The 18,117-nt window shown below is 37.5% G+C and overlaps 1 protein-coding gene across 5 annotated transcripts in view; it reads right to left on the reverse strand.

The window, feature by feature from the left end:
• LGSN (lengsin, lens protein with glutamine synthetase domain) overlaps nt 1–18,117 on the reverse strand; it is a 297,657-nt gene that overhangs the window by 13,440 nt on the left and 266,100 nt on the right. For 3 of the 5 annotated variants that reach the window (XM_047418866.1, XM_017010930.3, XM_011535892.4), the window contains 2 exons: nt 5,523–5,655; nt 4,278–4,466 (listed from right to left, as the gene is read on the reverse strand). In XM_047418866.1, coding sequence (XP_047274822.1) covers nt 4,278–4,466; nt 5,523–5,655 — 322 coding nt within the window. The remainder of the gene's footprint in view (nt 1–4,277; nt 4,467–5,522; nt 5,656–18,117) is intronic. The other 2 variants (NM_001143940.2, NM_016571.3) reach the window with 1 other exon arrangement.

Raw genomic sequence — 18,117 nt, forward strand, 5'->3', positions numbered from 1 at the left:
ATAAATCATACTTGTTATTTACAATTAAACCTTTTGGTCAGCCTTTCCCAGTTGCACATGATGAATAGCAGGCAGATAATTGCCAGTTCAGGAGCTCATTTGTTTTTCCTACAGTGTGGTTCCTAGGAGATTTTCTTCTTTTCTATTCCCTCAGAGGATTAATAAATTAAATCAATGTGTTTTTATAGAAGATGTTTTAATGCTGTGAATGTTTAGGGAAAAAATAAGAAAATATTAAAAAAAAAAAACCTTAAAGCTCTATAGCAACTAGGAGGCCTTGGAGAAATTTTGTTTGTGTTCAGTGACAATGAGGACATATATCAGTTATATATAGAGAGCAAGCCATGGTCACATATAAAAGGGAGATTGAAGAGATGTTTGGGCTTTCAGAAATACCAATTCAAAGAAAGGGAAAAGTGCACTTGCGAGAAAACTCTGGAATACATTCAGCTTATTGCACACCTAGCATAATGTACCATGCTCTTTCAAGGTCCAGCCATCTTTCATCATTGTGGCTATGGTGAGAGCCACCCTGTTTGTGCTACCTTCTGGCCACATCATATTAGCGCAGACATTGTTGGAAAGCCCAGGTGGCAGAATAACCAGGTACAAAGCAGGGAAAAAAAGCAATACAATAAAAAGTGGGAGGGAAAGGGGGCTTTTCTTTGAAAAAAAAAAAGTATTAGTTTTGGAAAAACTTAGAGAAGTTATTCCAAAGAAGAAATACCATATCAAAATTCCTTACACTTATTTTGGGAGTTTATTTTTAAATTATGTATATGTATTGGTTTGCAGTTTAAATTTTTAGTACTGAAGGCCTATAGAGAACTTAATACACCCTGAGCCAAAAAGGGAGCTTCTGAGCTAAAGAAGTTGAGTTAGTAATGGTACCCATGCTGTAAGTCACAATTGACAGTGCAAAGAGAGCTCATGATACAAGATCTTTCTCCAGATTTCTGGCTTAAGACAAAGAAATGGTAAATCCCTCTCTCTTTTGTAGCTAAAACTAGAATATATAAAACAATGACCACAAACTGTGGAGGAGTCAATGTGGCCAGCAGATGTTATCTGATTAGTCTTCCCAGTGTTTAGAAACTTTTTTGAAATAGTGGACAGCACTTCACTATTAGAAAATTTTATGTAAAAATCTTGAGTTCAAATTTATTTTGAAACTAGATCTGGCAACCCTGGGTAGGTATTTCTCCATAGCAACAACTGGTTGGAACTCTGAGGTAGTCTAGATGGGCAGGCAACCTCTACTTCACGGGGTGGCAAGCATTTTCTGTAAAGGACCAGATAGTAAATATTTGCAACCGTGTAGGCCATATGGTATTCGTTGCAGCTACTCATTTAGCACAATGTCATTTTAGCACAAAAGCAGCTATAAACAATTTGTAAACATTACTTAGAAAAACTGACCAGCAAGCTGAATTTAGCCTTTGGGCCATAGTCTGTTGCTCTCTGCTCCAGTTTTCTCATGACCAGAACCACTCCCTATGTTCTTACACCAGCCCATCTTTTGTATTAACCGTCTGGCCCCTGTGGGTATTTGTATCAACAGCCGCCTGATGTTCAGAGGTTGTTAGTGCTCATGCTCTTCACTTTGGAGAAATTCATAAAGCCAAAGTAGAGAGAAATTCACTTATGAGAGACGGTGTGGTAGTGAGATGGGAGAGTTCCCTGACCTCCTCGCGGAGCATGCAACAGGGACATGACTCATTTACTCGGCCACTGCACTCAAACCACTTATGGGAGGGGGAACATGCAGGTGAGCCAAGGTGAGCGCTTTTGGGTTGCGGCCCTACAGCAGTGTTTAGGGGTGTTACCATGCTCTTTTAGTTTTGCCATCCACGGACGGCTGTTAACCAGCTCAGTGGAAATTCCGGGTAACGGCCTTTTACACCCTATTCTCTAGGTACCTGGCTCCTTGTCCGGAGTCCAGGAAGAAACAGGTCACATGGACTAGAAGGATGGTGAATGTGGGGATTTTACTGAGTGATGGAGGTGGCTCTCAGTGGGATGGTTGGGGAGCAGGAAATGGGATGGAGTGGGAATATGACTTTCCCCTGGAGTTCGGCTGTCCCGCGACGGATCTCCTCTCCGACCGTCCCCAGCTGAACTCCTCCCCACCTTCAGATGCTCCTTCCCTCTCTGCCATTCTGTTCTCCTGCTCTGTCAGTGGAGCTTGGGGTTTATATGGGCATAGGATAGGGACATGGTGGGCCAGAGTGGTCTTGGAAAAGGCAACATTTTGGAACAAAAACAGAAATGTCTGTTCCTATTCAGGGCCATGGGTTTCCAGGCTTGAGGGTGGGGCCTTTGCCAGGGGACTGCCCTCTTCTATGCAGTATTTCCCTGCCTCTTTTCGGTATCAGTAGGCAGAATAACCCCTCGAAAATTTCTTCCATACCTAATCTCTGGAATATGTGAATATGTTAAATTGCATGGCAAAAGGGACTTTGCAAATGTAATTAAGGTTATGGACCTTAAAATAGGGATATTATCTTGGATTATCCATCTAAGCCCTTGAAATTAGATGGCTTTCTCCAGCTGAAGGCAGAAAAGGGATGTGGAAGAAGGGGAATTCAGAAAAGCTCTAAATATGAGAAGGATTTGAGGCATTGCTATCTCTGAGATATAAAACCACAGAAAGGATTCTGGGAGATAAGGGCCACCCCAGCTGACAACCAGCCAGGACACAAGAACCTCACTTCTACAGTCACAAAGAACTGGATTCTCTCAACAATCTGAATGAACTTGTAAATGTACTGTTGCCTGGAGTCTCTAGATAAGAAACCAGATGGCAATACCTTGACTTCAGCCTTGGAAAACCTGAAACAAGGAAACCAGATGAGCCAACCTAGACTTCTAACATACAAAACTGTGAGATAGTACACTTGTATTTTTAAAAAGATAATAAGTTTGTGTTTACTTTCCAGGCTCTAGCTCTTCCTTAGGCCCTGTGTGTACTAAAGGATTTAACCTTGCCCAAAGAGAGCTCTGGTCTTTGCCCTTGGTCCCTGGGAGATAATCTCCAAGCATTTAGAATGTCTTGCCTGACAAGAGTGTCTTTGTTTACCAAGGGGTTCTAGGCCACGCCAGAAACTCTAACAATGTTACTTATAGTGGTGACTTCAAGTCATGCAGTAACTGCTTGATCCCCAAAGCGGCTGGAGAGTGAAGTCAGCCAAATGCCCAGTTAACCATGAAGCCCCAGTAAAGACTCTGGACACCAAGACTCAAGTGAGCTTCCTTGGTTGGCAATATTCCTCACGTTATTGCCAAGAGAATAGTGCTGTCTGTCCATAACTCCACTAAGAAAGGACAAGTGAACATTCTGTGCTTAGAACTTGCCTGGACTGCCCATGGCTGATTTTTAATCTGTATCCTTTTAGTGTAATAAACCATAACCTTGAATATAACAGCTTTCAGTGAGTTCAGTAAGTCTTTCCAGCAAATTACCAAAACTAAGATTAACTTGGGGGATTCCAAAACTTGTAATTGGTGTCAGAAATGAGGGTAATGTGGTAGACACTATCCCTCTAACGTCCCACTCTGGTATATTCTCATCTTTCCAAATCTTGTATGTTTAACCCTGTCATTATAGATTTCCTTTTTTCAGAGTGGGGTAGGGGGGTAAGGTCTCTCTCTGTTACCCTGGCTGGAATGCAGTAGCACAATCACAACTCACCTCAACCTCCTGGGCTCAAGTGATCCTCCCACCTCATTCCCCTGAGTAGCTAGGACCACAGGCATCTGCCACCATACCAGCTAATTTTTTTATTGTGTAGAAACAGGGTCTGCCTATGTTGCCCAGGCTGGTCTCGAATTCCAGGCCTCAAGTGATCTCCCCTCCTCAGCCTCCCAAAGTGCTGGGATTACAGGTGTAAGCCACTGTGCCTGGCTTTTAGATTTGCTTTTGTAACTAATTTCCAGCATTTTAATTCAAGTGAGTTTTAACCAATACACTCATGTACCAAAATAGTTACATCACTATTAATAAGCCAGAAACTTAGAATAATAGGATTTTACTTTTAGAAAAGGCAAGACATCTTCCATTGCAACCCCTCTATTTTCCAGATGAACAGCCTAAAGGGTAAAGAAAACTACAAAGTATTTTATAAAAGATAGGTATAAAAATCTTTGTAAGTGTTCTGACTCCCGGGCTAGTATTCCTCAACCAACATTACATTCTCTCTAATTCAAATACAGACTTAGGGTTAGTGGCTAGAACCACATACCAGTTTGTTCCAGAATCCTTACCAGTAAATCCTTACCAGAGTTTGGGTTAAATTCACCTCCAGGAACATTGGTTGTTGTTCTGGGGGGCAAAGGTTTTATCACTGTTGTCTCATCCTGAGAGTCCTTGTCATCATATGACAGATGAGACTCAGCAGAGCCAGGTCCCATGATAGGTTTGCTTGTGTTCCCTAATTTGTGGCACACCATTTGGTTTCTGATCCTCTCTGTAGTAATAAGGAAAAATGTTAAAATATGTTTCCACTGTTTTCAACTGTCTCTTAATATAATATGGAGAGGAATACTTGAGAAAATAGTATATTTCTAGCAGTGACATATTAAATGAGGGGCAATGGGAGTGGTCTACCCTAGTCACTGGCCAAGAAAGTGCATTGTTTATAGAGAATTTAAAAACAGGCCAGGTGAGGTGGCTCATGTCTGTAGCCTGTAATCCCAGCACTTTGGAAGGCTGAGGCAGGTGGATCATTTGAGGTCAGGAGTTTGAGACCAGACCGGCTAACATGGTGAAACCCCATCTCTACTAGAAATATAAAAAATTAGCGTGGCATGGTGGCATGCCCTGTAAACCCAGCTACTCAGGAGGCTGAGGCAGGAGGATCACTTGAGCCCAGGAGGCAGAGATTGCAGTGAGCCAAGATCATGCCACTGCACTCCAGCCTGGGTGACAGAGTGAGACTCTGTCTCAAAAAAATAAATTAATTAATTAAAAATAAATAAATAAATAATAAAATCTACTAAAATCTGACTGCTTTTTATTGTAACCATATGCTGGGAATTCCTACTGTCCTGCCTTAGGACACAATGATTCCTAGGATTGAGCCTGTTGCCCAAATTAACTTCTAGTTTTAGCAGTGTCTCACATCTGTTGAAATCTAGTTGGAGTTCCAAAATGTGTTATGAAAACACCTTCCATACCTTTCTTATGGCCCCTCAAATCCTCTGTAATGATTTTTGTATTCATTTTCAGAGCAGAAAACTGTCTCTCTTCCTACTCATACATTCCTCTGTTTGTTCTTTTTTTTTTCTACTACTGTCATCCTAATTCTAACCCTCTTTACATTGTAAATATTTTGATTGGTTATTTTTATATATTTACGTTGTAAGCTTATATTTGCCATCTTTTATGACACTTATGTAGGAATAACTTTTATTTGTCCTTTTGCTTCTCCCAAAAAAGAAATGAAGATGTTTTATGAAAAGAAAGACCAAATGGAGATTGCCTCTGACCACACCATTTTTGAGGACTCAGAGTAGTTAGATACCATTTGAATTGGACATATCCGTTTCTCCCACTTCAGTTGAACAAACATATGGTTTAGTGACTTTCTTCCTTGTCCTTCTTAATGTGTTCATGCTGTTGGCTTCAGTCTCATTGCCTTCATCTCTTGTTGAGTCCTGTTGATAATTAATAAACAAAAAGCCAAATAACAGATTATTCAAACAATGATATTTGGATGTCGAAAGAGTATATTTGAATAGCTCAATTTTTTAATGAGCATAGAAGACTTTTATAATGATGAAAATTTTGTCACTTCCACACTCACCTGAATAACTCACAATTTAAAAGCCCAGCGTTGTGCTGATAGGCCAGATAGTCTCTATCTCCTTTTATATGTGATACAGAAAATATCATTAAGTAAATTAAAATCGTGTCTAATTACTCAAGATTTCTATGTTTATTTTTTACTTTGGGAATTTTATATTATTTATTCCTCAATAATTTTGCAAAACCTATTTTAACTAAAAAGTTTACTTTTTATGATTTCTATTTTTTAGGATTTCTAACCTTTTTGTCTGAAGGCATAAGCATCTGAAGAATTGTATTCTCTGCTCTCTTTTTCCTTATGAAAAAGGAAAAAATTAATAATGCAATTAATAATTGCATCAATATTTACTTCACTTCAAAAAAGTACTTGAATTCATAAAGTGCTATTTTGTGACTGTATTTTATATGTGTAAAACAAACATCATATCCAAACCATTTTATAGCTTAAGAAAATCTAAGGAAATGCATTCAAAACAAAATAACCTAACTTTCACAATCTAGTTATAATCCTTGACATGACAGGATATGCCCAGCAGGGAGCTAGGCAGTGAGGCACAGGCTGGTGCTGGGGAGCTCAGGAATCTCAGCACTAACAGTGCACAGAGTCACCCCTGCAGTCCCAAGACACAAAAGCTGTCACTGAAAAAAAATATGAAAAATTTTGAAAAAGCTGACACTGGTATTTTTAAGGTTTTTTACAAACCCCTCATAGTGGTTTGAGGAGAGAGGAAAGTGACAGGGTCAGGGTCAAAAAGTATGCTGTAAACACTTTGAGCTTAGTATCTTTTTGAAAAGCAGGCTCCGAGAGGTTTCACATCTGTGGGCAAGTTATATGAATATATGTTGAGTAACTGCTGGGGAGCAGCTGTATCACTTCATCTATAAAACCAATTCATTCTCCCAAGGCTAAAATAGAAAAAGAAAGATTTTCATTTTTTGCTTGCTTATATGTAATTATGATGCATTGTTATTATTGTTATATTAACAAAGTTATATTTCCTAGAACAAAGGCTTTTCTGTAACTTTAAAGTTTCACTTATTAGAAAATTGTGGTCTTTTTCACTCCAAATAACCTTATATTTGGATAATATGATACTTAATATATAATAATTAATTTTGTAAGTAATTTAGGATTTAATTTCAATACTTGCATAAATTTTCCCAACACACTTCTGATAGAATCTGGCAGAAATATAAAGCTTTATTGTACATGTTCACCATGTCTAAAATTGTTTTGCTAGAAATGCATAGTCTATAATTTTACTTTTGTTAAATGCATATGTATATATTTATTTTTATTTATTTATTTATTTATATAGTCTTTTAAAGAAGTATTGTTTAGAAAATGAAATACTTAGCCAGGTATATAATTATCAATGCAATATGAGCAGACTAAATTTGTCTTAGCTTGACCCTTTGCTCATATATAATATTTTCATATATAAATTGAAGGAATTGGGTGACATAAACTTTAACATCTCTTTCAGTTTTAAACTCTAACCTGCAACTGAATAAACAATTAAATAACAATGTGTTAAAATTAAGCACATTGTCAAGCATGTTTTCTCATGGTACCCCTTAAGTTAATAAAATCTCACCATTTTACAAATAAGAAAAATGAGACTCAGAATAACTTGCCCCAGGCCACAAGAGTGAATGAAAGATGCAGTTTCTAAAAATACCTTGTTTTTCAACATGCCATTCTGCTTCCTAAAAGCCAGAGATCCAAGACAAAAGAAAGGTCATTTTAAAAACATTCACCTGCCCTCATATAAACCCGATCAAAAGAGAAAGTTTCTTAAGAAAAAAAAAAAATTTACCTAGTTACTAACTGAGAATTTCACCAATAAGAGCCCAAAAACTGACCAGGCGCGGTGGCTCACACATGTAATCCCAGCACTTTGAGAGGCCAAGGCGGGTGGATCACGAGGTCAGAAGATCGAGACCAGCCTGGTCAACATGGTGAAACCCCATCTCTACTAAAAATACAAAAATTAGCCAGGCGTGGTTGCACGTGCCTGTAATCCCAGCTGTTTGGGAGGCTGAGGCAGGAGAATTGCTTGAACCCAAGAGGCAGCCGAGGTTGCAGTGAGCCGAGATGGCACCATTGCATTCTAGCCTGGGCAAGAAGAGTGAGAGAAGAGTGAGCCTCGGTATCAAAAAAAAAAAAAAAAAAAGCCCAAAAACTAAGGCACAGTACATACCTTTTACTCCATAAAAATGCTCAAAAAAGGGAGTAGGGGTTTCAAATGAAGAATACATTTCATTCAGTCCTTTTCAGTCCTTTGGTTTTCTTTTACATACTAGGGTGATCAGCATATAAACATAGCTATAATAAAACAAATTTATTGGATCCTTCATTTATCCCACCTCCATTCGAGTATTTTTATTCTCCTTAATCCTTGATCTTTTAATTACACTTAGGTGCAATGTGAATGATGCTTCAGTAAAAAACTTACTAGCCCAGATGATTGAGGTTTGGGTTGTAATTCTGACCTTTCCACAAAGTAGCAAGTCCTTCTAGGGCCTTGACATTCTCATCTGTAAACACTAATATAAATAAAATCATATTGTCAAATTAAATTGAGCCTAGGGCTACCTCCTTATATATTTTAAGTTTGACTTAAAAATTTCTAAGCAGACTAGAAACTACTCTTCTACCAATCACAGTGTTTCAGCCAATCACAGGTGGCCAATTGTTCAAAACATGTTCAAACACTGTTTCTGTATCTCATTCCCATCTTCTGTACCAAGATGGAAATCTTCTGTACATCACTTTTCTTTTCCTGTCCATAAATGTCATCTGACCATGCGACAGCCTAAGAGTCGCTCTGAACATATTCTTGTTCTGAGGGCTGCCTGACTCTTGAATTGTTCTTTAACTGAGTTTAAAATTTAATTTTTCTACAGGTTTTCTTTTAACAGATGGCCTCAGAAGTGGGATTTGAAGTAGAGCTTCCAGCAACCCCCAGGAGCACTGAGTGATTAAGCAAGGTACACCAGCTCCATTGTATCTGTTGCTCTCTCGAATCAACTGGGGATCATGGGTAAGTTGTCTCTCAGATTATGGAGATCCCCATGCGTTTGTGTTTTGACTATCTGAATTTGTATGGGCACATTTTTTATCTTAACTGGGTACAGAAGTCATGACAGACACTGGACTGGGTTAGACTCAATAACTAATTGGATTATATCCAGTTAGAATTCTTAGATGGCTGACTGGTTAGACAAACTGGCAGTAAATGGCAATACTGCAGAAGGTGTGAACTCTGGCTTTCAGAAATTCACCAGGATTTTGTGTTCTATCCCTTTTGTTTCTTTTTCTAATGCATGAGGTAGGGAAAAATCTTCGGCTTAGTTGATCAAGATGTGAGAGCCAAAACCAATTTTCAATATAAAAATGGAATCCTTAATTTCTGATGAACTGAGTGCTCCACTTTTGTCTATCCCATACCTCTACATGTATAATTATTAGGTCCCACAAGCTGCAAGTACTTACAAAAATGGCAAAATCTTATAAAGATAATTTAAAATTATAGTGGAATGCTCCAAATAAACAACACCAACACCACACTTTAAGAACTGCATTTAAAAATGAAGGCTCCCAAATTAGGCATATCCAGGGACACCTATTGATGTGCAGAACATTCTTAAAAATGTTAATATTTCTATTGCCTCTTTTAAAAGCCTTTCAAAAGGCAAACAAAAAGCTTAAGCAACTAATTGATAAGAAAAATTGAATCTGCTAATCTTTTGGCTTAGTTACTATCCTGCCCCAAAGATAAAAAGAGAATTATATAAAGTGTTCATGAAAGGTAGGCCCTCAAGTAAAGTAGGCTTTTTTCTTTTTCAGAGCTATCCATACCGAGTCCACACATAGAGAATTATTTCCTCGCCTTATTAATTAATGGGCTCCAACCTGAACTCAGTAATTTTAGCTAAAAAATAGTGGCTAACTTAAAAAGACTGCCTATTGAACTAAATTGGTCTCCAAATTCACCTTTCTGGCATTTAGCTGGCTATTTTGAAACATATCTGTAAAGGAAATTTACATCTATAAAGGAAACCTCCATTTTTAAGGGTGTCTGCCTCTGTGCAGCAGGAAGAGAGGAAAGACTAAGTTACTAGAGACTCTTATCATTGACTTACATTTATGTAACAAGTCTCCTCTAAAGTACCTTTTCCTATCCATCCTGTCTTAACTGGGCATTTATCCACATCCTCCCTCCTTGATTTGAGCAAAAGATGGTACAATATTTAGGTCTAAAGTCTCAGCTGTATGCATTTGAGAGATAAAATTTCTACCTTGTTTTACCTAAAAGTCATCCTTTTAGAAGTGAAATTTTAGGGTTTTCTAGCTAACAATTGCTTAGAACAATGAAACAGGTAATTGGAATATTGATAGTCTGAATTGGGGGAAAGAAAAACTATTTGGAAACTAGTAAATGAAAAATTTTTCTGAAAATTTTAACTTCTGCCCTTGTCCGTGTCTGTCTATATGTCTGTAAGTGTTATGTGTATCAGATATTTCTTTCTGATCTTATATAATATTTGTCAAATGAAGCAAGTTTTTACATTGTTGGCAAAATAAAATAGGAATGTCTTCAGAATTGTCAATACTAAATATAATTCAGACTTTTTTTTCTGGGTCTACTGGTCAGAAAGGTTTATGCTGTTTTTGCTATATGTTTTAGGGTCATAAAATTGCTGCTTCTGTCAAATTTTGATACGTGCTTGATTGTCTGTAAGCTGACACTGAAAAGGCTGGCTACTGGGTTCCCCTGAAGCCTTTCACACATCTTACTGTGAGCTTATATCTTTGATTTTGAGCCTTTGAATTCTGAGGCCTGGAGAGGTGGTCATGGTGAGGCCTGGAGACGTGTATGTCCACTGTACCTGGGCCACTAGCAGCAGGACACAGCCAAGCCCACTATGGCCCTGCCCTTCCTCCTCCAGCTTTGCCTGCTGGCCATGCTGAGAGGGGTTGGATCCTCCAGACATCCTTTTCATAGCTCTGTCCTCAGTCCTTGACTCTACACCTGGTGTGTAAATTAGGGACCCAGATGGGCCCTGGCCTTCCTAGCCATCCTAGGTGCCACTCAGGACATTAGGGAGAATACCTACGTTATTTTTTCAAAATTATTTTCAGAAACTTAAAATCTTAAAGCTGCGTTAAATTCAGAAATAGGGAAAGGAGCAATGGCTCATTCCTATAATCCAAGCACTTTGGGAGACTGAGGTGGGAGCATCACTTGACCCCAGGAATTTGAGACCAGCCTAGGCAACATGGTGAGATGCAACTCTACAAAATATATAAAAATTAGCTAGGCACGGTGGTGTGTGCCTGTAGTCCCAGCTACTCGGGAGGCTGAGGTGGGAGAATGACTTGAGCATGGGAGGCAAAAATTGCAGTGAGCCAAGATCATGCCACTGTACTCCAATCTGGGTGACAAAGCAAGATCTATCTCAAAAAATAAAAATAAAAAATAAGAATAAATTCAGAAATAAATACTCATTAAATATCTGAGTCATTTCTAAGAAGTTAAAATATTGAAGTATTAATTATTAACATAAATTTATGCCTTAGCATCTTATTTGTATATGATATTGAAAATGTAAATATATTTAGATCTATTAAAAATAATTGAGGAAACATCTTTCTAAACAATTATGAAATGGTTTTTATCTGCAGATACTGATATAAAACACTTCAAAATCATTAACTTCCTAGGTTTTACACTGGAAGTTAGAATTACTAAGAGTTAAAATTTAAGTTAATATATGTAATTATAACTACTAAAGTAAATAATTTAGCTGGCCACGATGTCTCATGCCTGTAATCCTAGCACTTTGGGAGGCCAAGCTGGGAGGATCACTTGAGGTCAGGAGTTGGAGACCAGCCTGGCCAACACAGTGAAACCCCATCTCTACTAAAAATGCAAAAATTAGCCAGGCATTGTGGCACACATCTGTAACCACAGTTAGTAGGGAGACTGAGGCAGGAGAATGGCTTGAACCTGGGAGGTGGAGGTTGCAGTGAGCCAAGATTGCGCCACTGCACTTCAGCCTGGGTGACAGAATGAGACTCTGTCTTAAAAAAAATAAATACAATAAAATAAATAATTCTATATGTAAAGTGTACAAGAAAAGCAAGATTGTTTTTGATGAGAAAATTAAAATGTGTATTTGTTGAGAAAAAATAATTTTGTCTAGTTTAGAGGTTATTTAAAGGTTCTTTCAAAATGAAAAAATTATATAAATAAAATTAAATGGATATTCAAGGTTGGGGGAAAATAGAAAAAAATGCAAGAGGCTATAAAAAGGATTATGGAAATCTTGTGTGTTCAAAAGCTGATTGAAGGTGAATGTATTTGTTTATAAGGTTTTCTTAAAATTAGCAGTAGTATTGATTATATACTAACACAAAAGTAAAATTCATAATTCTCTGCAGAGTTCACAGGGGAAAAAAGTAAAATTCTGTTTTCTCCTTTGAATAAGAATTTATTGTAGTATTAATAAGAGTGAAAGATGTTCGTCCACCTTTTGAGTAAAATGCAAAGAAAAATAGAGGAGAGACAGATTTTGTTTTGTGCTGTCTTTATTATGTCTTTTGATTATTTGGAAAACTGAATCTCCTCTTCATCAACGAATAAGGATTTTTGCTTTTGAAAACCTTTTAATTATCAGTTAGGCTAAATTAATTACTATTATTTTGCCGTAATCTGTGATTCTATTTTGATAGTGTTTAAAACCTTTGGCATATTTGATAGGCTTCCTAAAATCAAATTTCAAATTCTAAAATTAACTCTTTTTTCCTTCAAACTAACTTTAGGATGTTCCAAAAGGTCCCTGAAGCATCCAAAAAAGAGACAATAAATAGGCTTATTTGATATGTTAAATAAAATGGAAAGCATCATAAAATAAATGGTACTTAACATTCTCTGAGTTATATTTTATGAATATATTATGAATATGTATTTCAAAATTATATGTGACTCCTAATATTCTGATATGTCTTAGTATATGTTATCAGCAATAATTATGTTTATTTATGTTAAATTATTATAGGATACAGAAAGAGCCAAATTTCCTTGTCAATTGCATCTTTAACCATAACCATTTTAAGTCTTATTCACAGTTTATTAATTCTGATGAACTTTCTTAAAGCTCATTACAATCAAGTAAAATCCTAAAATGTTGTGTCCTCAAGGAGGTTCATGGAAAGGTTTGAAAGAATGCTCATAAACACTCTTGAACACAGGTTTCTGATAACTCTAGAATGATATACATTTGGACGGGATAGGAATACTAAAAGCTCTAATGAAGAAGTTGACCAGTTTATAAAATTGCCAACTTAAGTAGCACAAGAACTAATTGAATACCAAGGAAATACTTTAGCAGATTTCCATGCTAGATCAGCCAGTACTGATGTTGTTAAAATATGCAATTTGAATGAGGTTCATGGTTCAAGTCAAATTGCCTACAATAACCCATTTGATAAGCAGTGCTATGCACCTAAATTGAAGAAACGAAATTTGTATTTAAGATAATATGAATTCATTGTCGAGTGTGGACTCATGGAGAGTCTGGAGAGCTGCCTGGTCCTTCTCAAGTAATTAAAACTGCCATCATTGAAAGCTCTACACTCAGCCAGGCATGGTGGCTTTCGCCTGTAATCTCAGCACTTTGGGATGCCGAGGTAGGTGGATCACTCGAGGTCAGGAGTTCGAGTCCAGCCTGGCCAATATAGTGAGACCCCCATCTCTACTAAAAATGCAAAAATTATTCAGGCATGGTGGTGAACACCTGTAATCCCAGCTACTCGGGAAGCTGAGGCAGGAGAATCGCTTGAACCCAGGAGGCAGAGGTTGAAGTGAGCCGAGATTGCATCCAAATTATATTTTTAAAAATATACTGGTGTCATGACTATTCTAAGTTGCCAAAGTGGTTTATTTTGCTTTGTCAAATCCATAATCCTAGGAAGACAAAAAAAACTTCAGGTACATTTTTGCTACTTGATGGGCCATTTGAACATTTACAGATGGCTTCTATTCAATTGTCATTTGTAATGCATGTTTTCTAGTTATATACAAGCTTTCTCATGCAAGAAGGCTAATGCAATAACAATAGCTAAAATAGCTTAACGGTTATCAAGAAATGTGTTTCTCTCATGGAACATTCCTAGAGAAATCTCCAACAATAAAGGTACTTGTTTCACTGGACAAGTTGTAAAACATAAGGTGTTACAGCTATAATAGCATTAGGCAAGTCTAACTGAATGGACTGAATTGTCTTGGTCAAAGGTACTGCAGACTGATAACAATCAGTTCCTCTTCCAATCAAAACATGAGTTGACCATTTATGAAATAGTCACTGTAAGGCCTCTAATAATAGAACCTTATGTATCTTCTGCACCTAAATTCTTATATGACTAAATGCTACAATGCAGGCTTCAATGCATTGTGCCAAAGTGTATTTTCATTAGGTAAAAGGAGCTTTTTATGATCCACTGACTGGGTACAGTCAAACCCTTCATGGTCTAAAACTTAGAGACTGGGCCTTCTGGAAACACCATCAGAGAAAGACTTCCCTTGCCACTCACACTGCAGTAAAATACTGGGACCTTGAACCTTGAGTCTGGCCCATCCAGCCTCTTGAAACCAAACACTTGTTAGAGACCTTAAGGTAAAGCTAACCAGAGAACTTTCTCCCTTGAAGCAGATGGCATCCTAGACATAGAAAGCTTTCCCAAGATCATGGAACAAGACTTCTCTTCCATCGTGAGATTCTTAACCTTTCTTAACTTTTGCCTTGCTTATGCCTCTTGGAACAACACAGTGGGAAAAGGGGCCTATGTGTGTGAAGTATATTTTTATTTGTGTTAGATTTCACAGACAACCTTATACATGAGCAACCTTATCTCTTGATGGATGCAAGATGAAGGGCCAGTGTAGGCTAGGAATTTTAATGACACCTTTGTTACTCCATAATCAGTCAGAAACAGAACATCAGTCCACTTCTTTTAACGTACATCCTAGGTTAAATAAAACATTGCCAAGAGGCCTTCACCTTTCTAGATGGGCATCATTTGTTAGTTCCCTTTTTCTATGGCTTGGAGTAAATGAGGTAATGATTAGAAATGTATCCCTTACAGTAGTCTGTACAGCAGATTTTACTGCAAAACCTGTGGCTGTGCAGCAGACTTCTTTAAATTCTCTTGCTAAAGTTGTGCTAGATAATAAAATTGCTCTAGATTACCTACAGGCTGAACAGGGAGAAATCTGTGCAGTGGCTTACACTTCTTATTGTACATGAATAAATACACTGGGTTTTGTAGAGATTCAGTTACAAGAGATTAATGAACAGGCTGCTTAATTAAAACATGTAGACTTTTCATCTGGCTTATTCTTTGATCTATTTAACTTTAGTTGATTAATAGGAACTAATAGGAACCTTGGCTAAGGAGCATACTCCAAATTCTTGGTATGCTCCTGCCAGTCACTATAGTAGTCATTATCATTATCATTCTGACAGTCACAATAGTATTCTCCCTGGTATGCTATATTCTCTCCAAAGTTTTAAATGTTTGCAGACAGCCATGTGTAGAATGTCAGATGGTATCTTTGACTGGAATGACAAAATCTCAAAGAAATGCCTGATCGTGAAGACACTATAACCTATCAATAATGTGCTAAGACAGAAAACCCAAAATAATGGTAATAGGAAGTAGCACCAAAGCCCTAAGTTTTGGTCACACTCTCATCTAGGTGAGAACCTGACCAAAAGAAGAGAATTGTTAAACAAAATTATGGAAGACCATTGTTCTGGACTGAACTCTTGCATTAGACCCCAACAGAACAGACCAAATCAAAACAAAATCACTCATGCTAATACAACATAATCACAGTGAAACTTTAAGGAAGAAGATAGATTCCAAAACAGTACAGTTTTTTTTTCTTCTGAAAACAGGAGATCCCAGCATAATAAAGAGGTCCCCTCTGCTCTAACCCTTACAAAAAATTAACCTAAAGTAAACAATCAGGTTATTTTTCTCTCATTCTGTTTCCATATTCCCACCTTACAAAATCCACTGTACTGCTATTTCCCAGTGGAATTTGAGACCAAATAAGTCCATTTACAATGGTGTGAGAGTGACGTCAATGCCTAAGGTTTCAGTCAACCTCTCAATCTTAAGAGGTTGACCCAAAGGGAGGAATTGTTTACATAAAGCTACCTCCTTACATATCTTAAGTTTGGCCTAGAACTTTATAAACAGACTATAACCTACTCCTGTACCAATTAGAATTTCAGATGCCTGCCAATCACAGGCAGCCAACTGTTCAAACCATGTTCAAATAAGGGAAACTCCCAGCTGTAACTAATTCAGCTGTTTCTGTGACTCATTATTGTCTTCTGTACATCACTTTTCTTGTTCTGTCCATAAATGTTATCCAACAATGTGGCAGCTCCAGAGTCGCTCTGAACCTATTTTGGTTCTCAGGGAGGCCCAATTCTCAAATCATTCTTTGCTCAATCAAACTCTGTTAAATTTAATTTGCCTAAAGTCTTTTAAATAATATCCAGCCAGGTGGGGTGGCTCACGCCTGTAATCCCAGAACTTTGGGAGGCTGAGGTGGGTGGATCACTTGAGGCCAGGAGTTCAAGACCAGCCTGGGCAACATGGCAAAACTCCATCTCTACAAAAAATACAAAAAATTAGCCAGATTTGATGGCTAATTTGGTGTCTGTAGTCCCAGCTACTTGGGAGGCTGAGGCATAAGAATCGCTTAAACCCAGGAGGTGGAGGTTACAGTGAGCCAAGATCGCACCACTGCACTCCAGCCTGGGCAACAGAGTGAGACTCTGTCTCAACAACAAAAAAATAAAGTCTTTAAAATAATACCTATAAAAATATTAACATTTTAAAAGCATTGCCATATCCAGACAATATTTTATATTTCATCTAATACCCACAACATACAGGGAATATTTATTATCACCTACATTTTTTCCAAAGCAGAAATAACCCACAGGGGTTAGGTAATTTGTTCAAGGTCATATCTGAGGAAGAATAGGAATTCAAATCTAAGTATTTTATTTGAGGTGCTTCCTACATCACCATAGCTTGATAATTGACTTAAATGGAATTCTGTTTTTATTATATAGTGTGATCTGTGTAACTCATAAAACTTGTTCAACTTCTTCAATTATATATTCTTTTTCAATTGTATTTTTATAACTCTTTTCTGTATAAAAGCAAAACCCATCTTAATTCACATCACCACCAGTTTAACCTTCATTAGTCCCAAGAGTGAAGTTGTAACCTACTATGGATAAGGCAAAATCAAAGACATAAAAATAAACAAAACATAAAACATGATTCACAAAGAATATTACAATCTAGTAGAGGCAATAAAGTGTTGCTGTGGCAGTTAAGGGCCTCCATGTTGTAAAGAAAGAGATATGCTCAGGTTAGCCTAGTTCAAGGAGAGCAAACTCAAATAGCAGACAGATTACAAAAAAACACAATGGGCTGGAGGGCGAACGCAGTAGTTGATAGCCCTTCCCAGGAAGGAGCCAACACAGGAGTCCAGACAATTGTTGCCATATTAAAACGTGGCCCTCGTGTTGCCAGTTTTACAAATTTTCAAAACATGCCAGAAATCTGGATTTTTATTTGAAATTTCATGATTGTTAAATACTGCCAATTGATTTAAAATGTAAGGTAAGAAGTAAAGAAATAAACTTTCTCAACTACCACACAACTAGGTCTCAAAACTACCGGAATGCTGTTCAGAATATGCAGCAGCTCTAGAGATATGAGGCACAACTGTATCAGCAGTGACCACCTGTCTTTTCCCCAACAGTGGTATCTAGTGTGGTACTAAAGGGTGATGGTAAAAATATTTAGCCATTAGTACATCTAATAAAAATAACCAACACTTATATTGTGCCTATTATGTGCTAGATCTCTTCTAAATGCTTTGTCTTAATTTATTTAGTCTGAAAAATATCCCATGTGATAAATACATTACCATCCTATTTCAGAGATGAGAAAAATTGAGTCAAAGAAAGACTAATCAACTAACCCAAGCTCACAAGTCTCATAAGTGACAAAGCTCAGATTTGAACCCAGCCAGTTGGCTCCAGAGCACCAAGTACTTGGCACACTCTTAATGAACACTGTCACCAGGATATCCTCCCAACCATTGCTGGGGTGCTAGGAAGCTGTAGCAAGGTCCTGGAGGGCCTGTAGGGCCAGGTACTAGTTCTTTAACTCTTTAATTGATGGGCTGTGGACAGGTCCAAGA

This window comes from Homo sapiens, chromosome 6 (assembly GCF_000001405.40).
Source record: "Homo sapiens chromosome 6, GRCh38.p14 Primary Assembly".
NCBI lineage: Eukaryota > Metazoa > Chordata > Mammalia > Primates > Hominidae > Homo > Homo sapiens.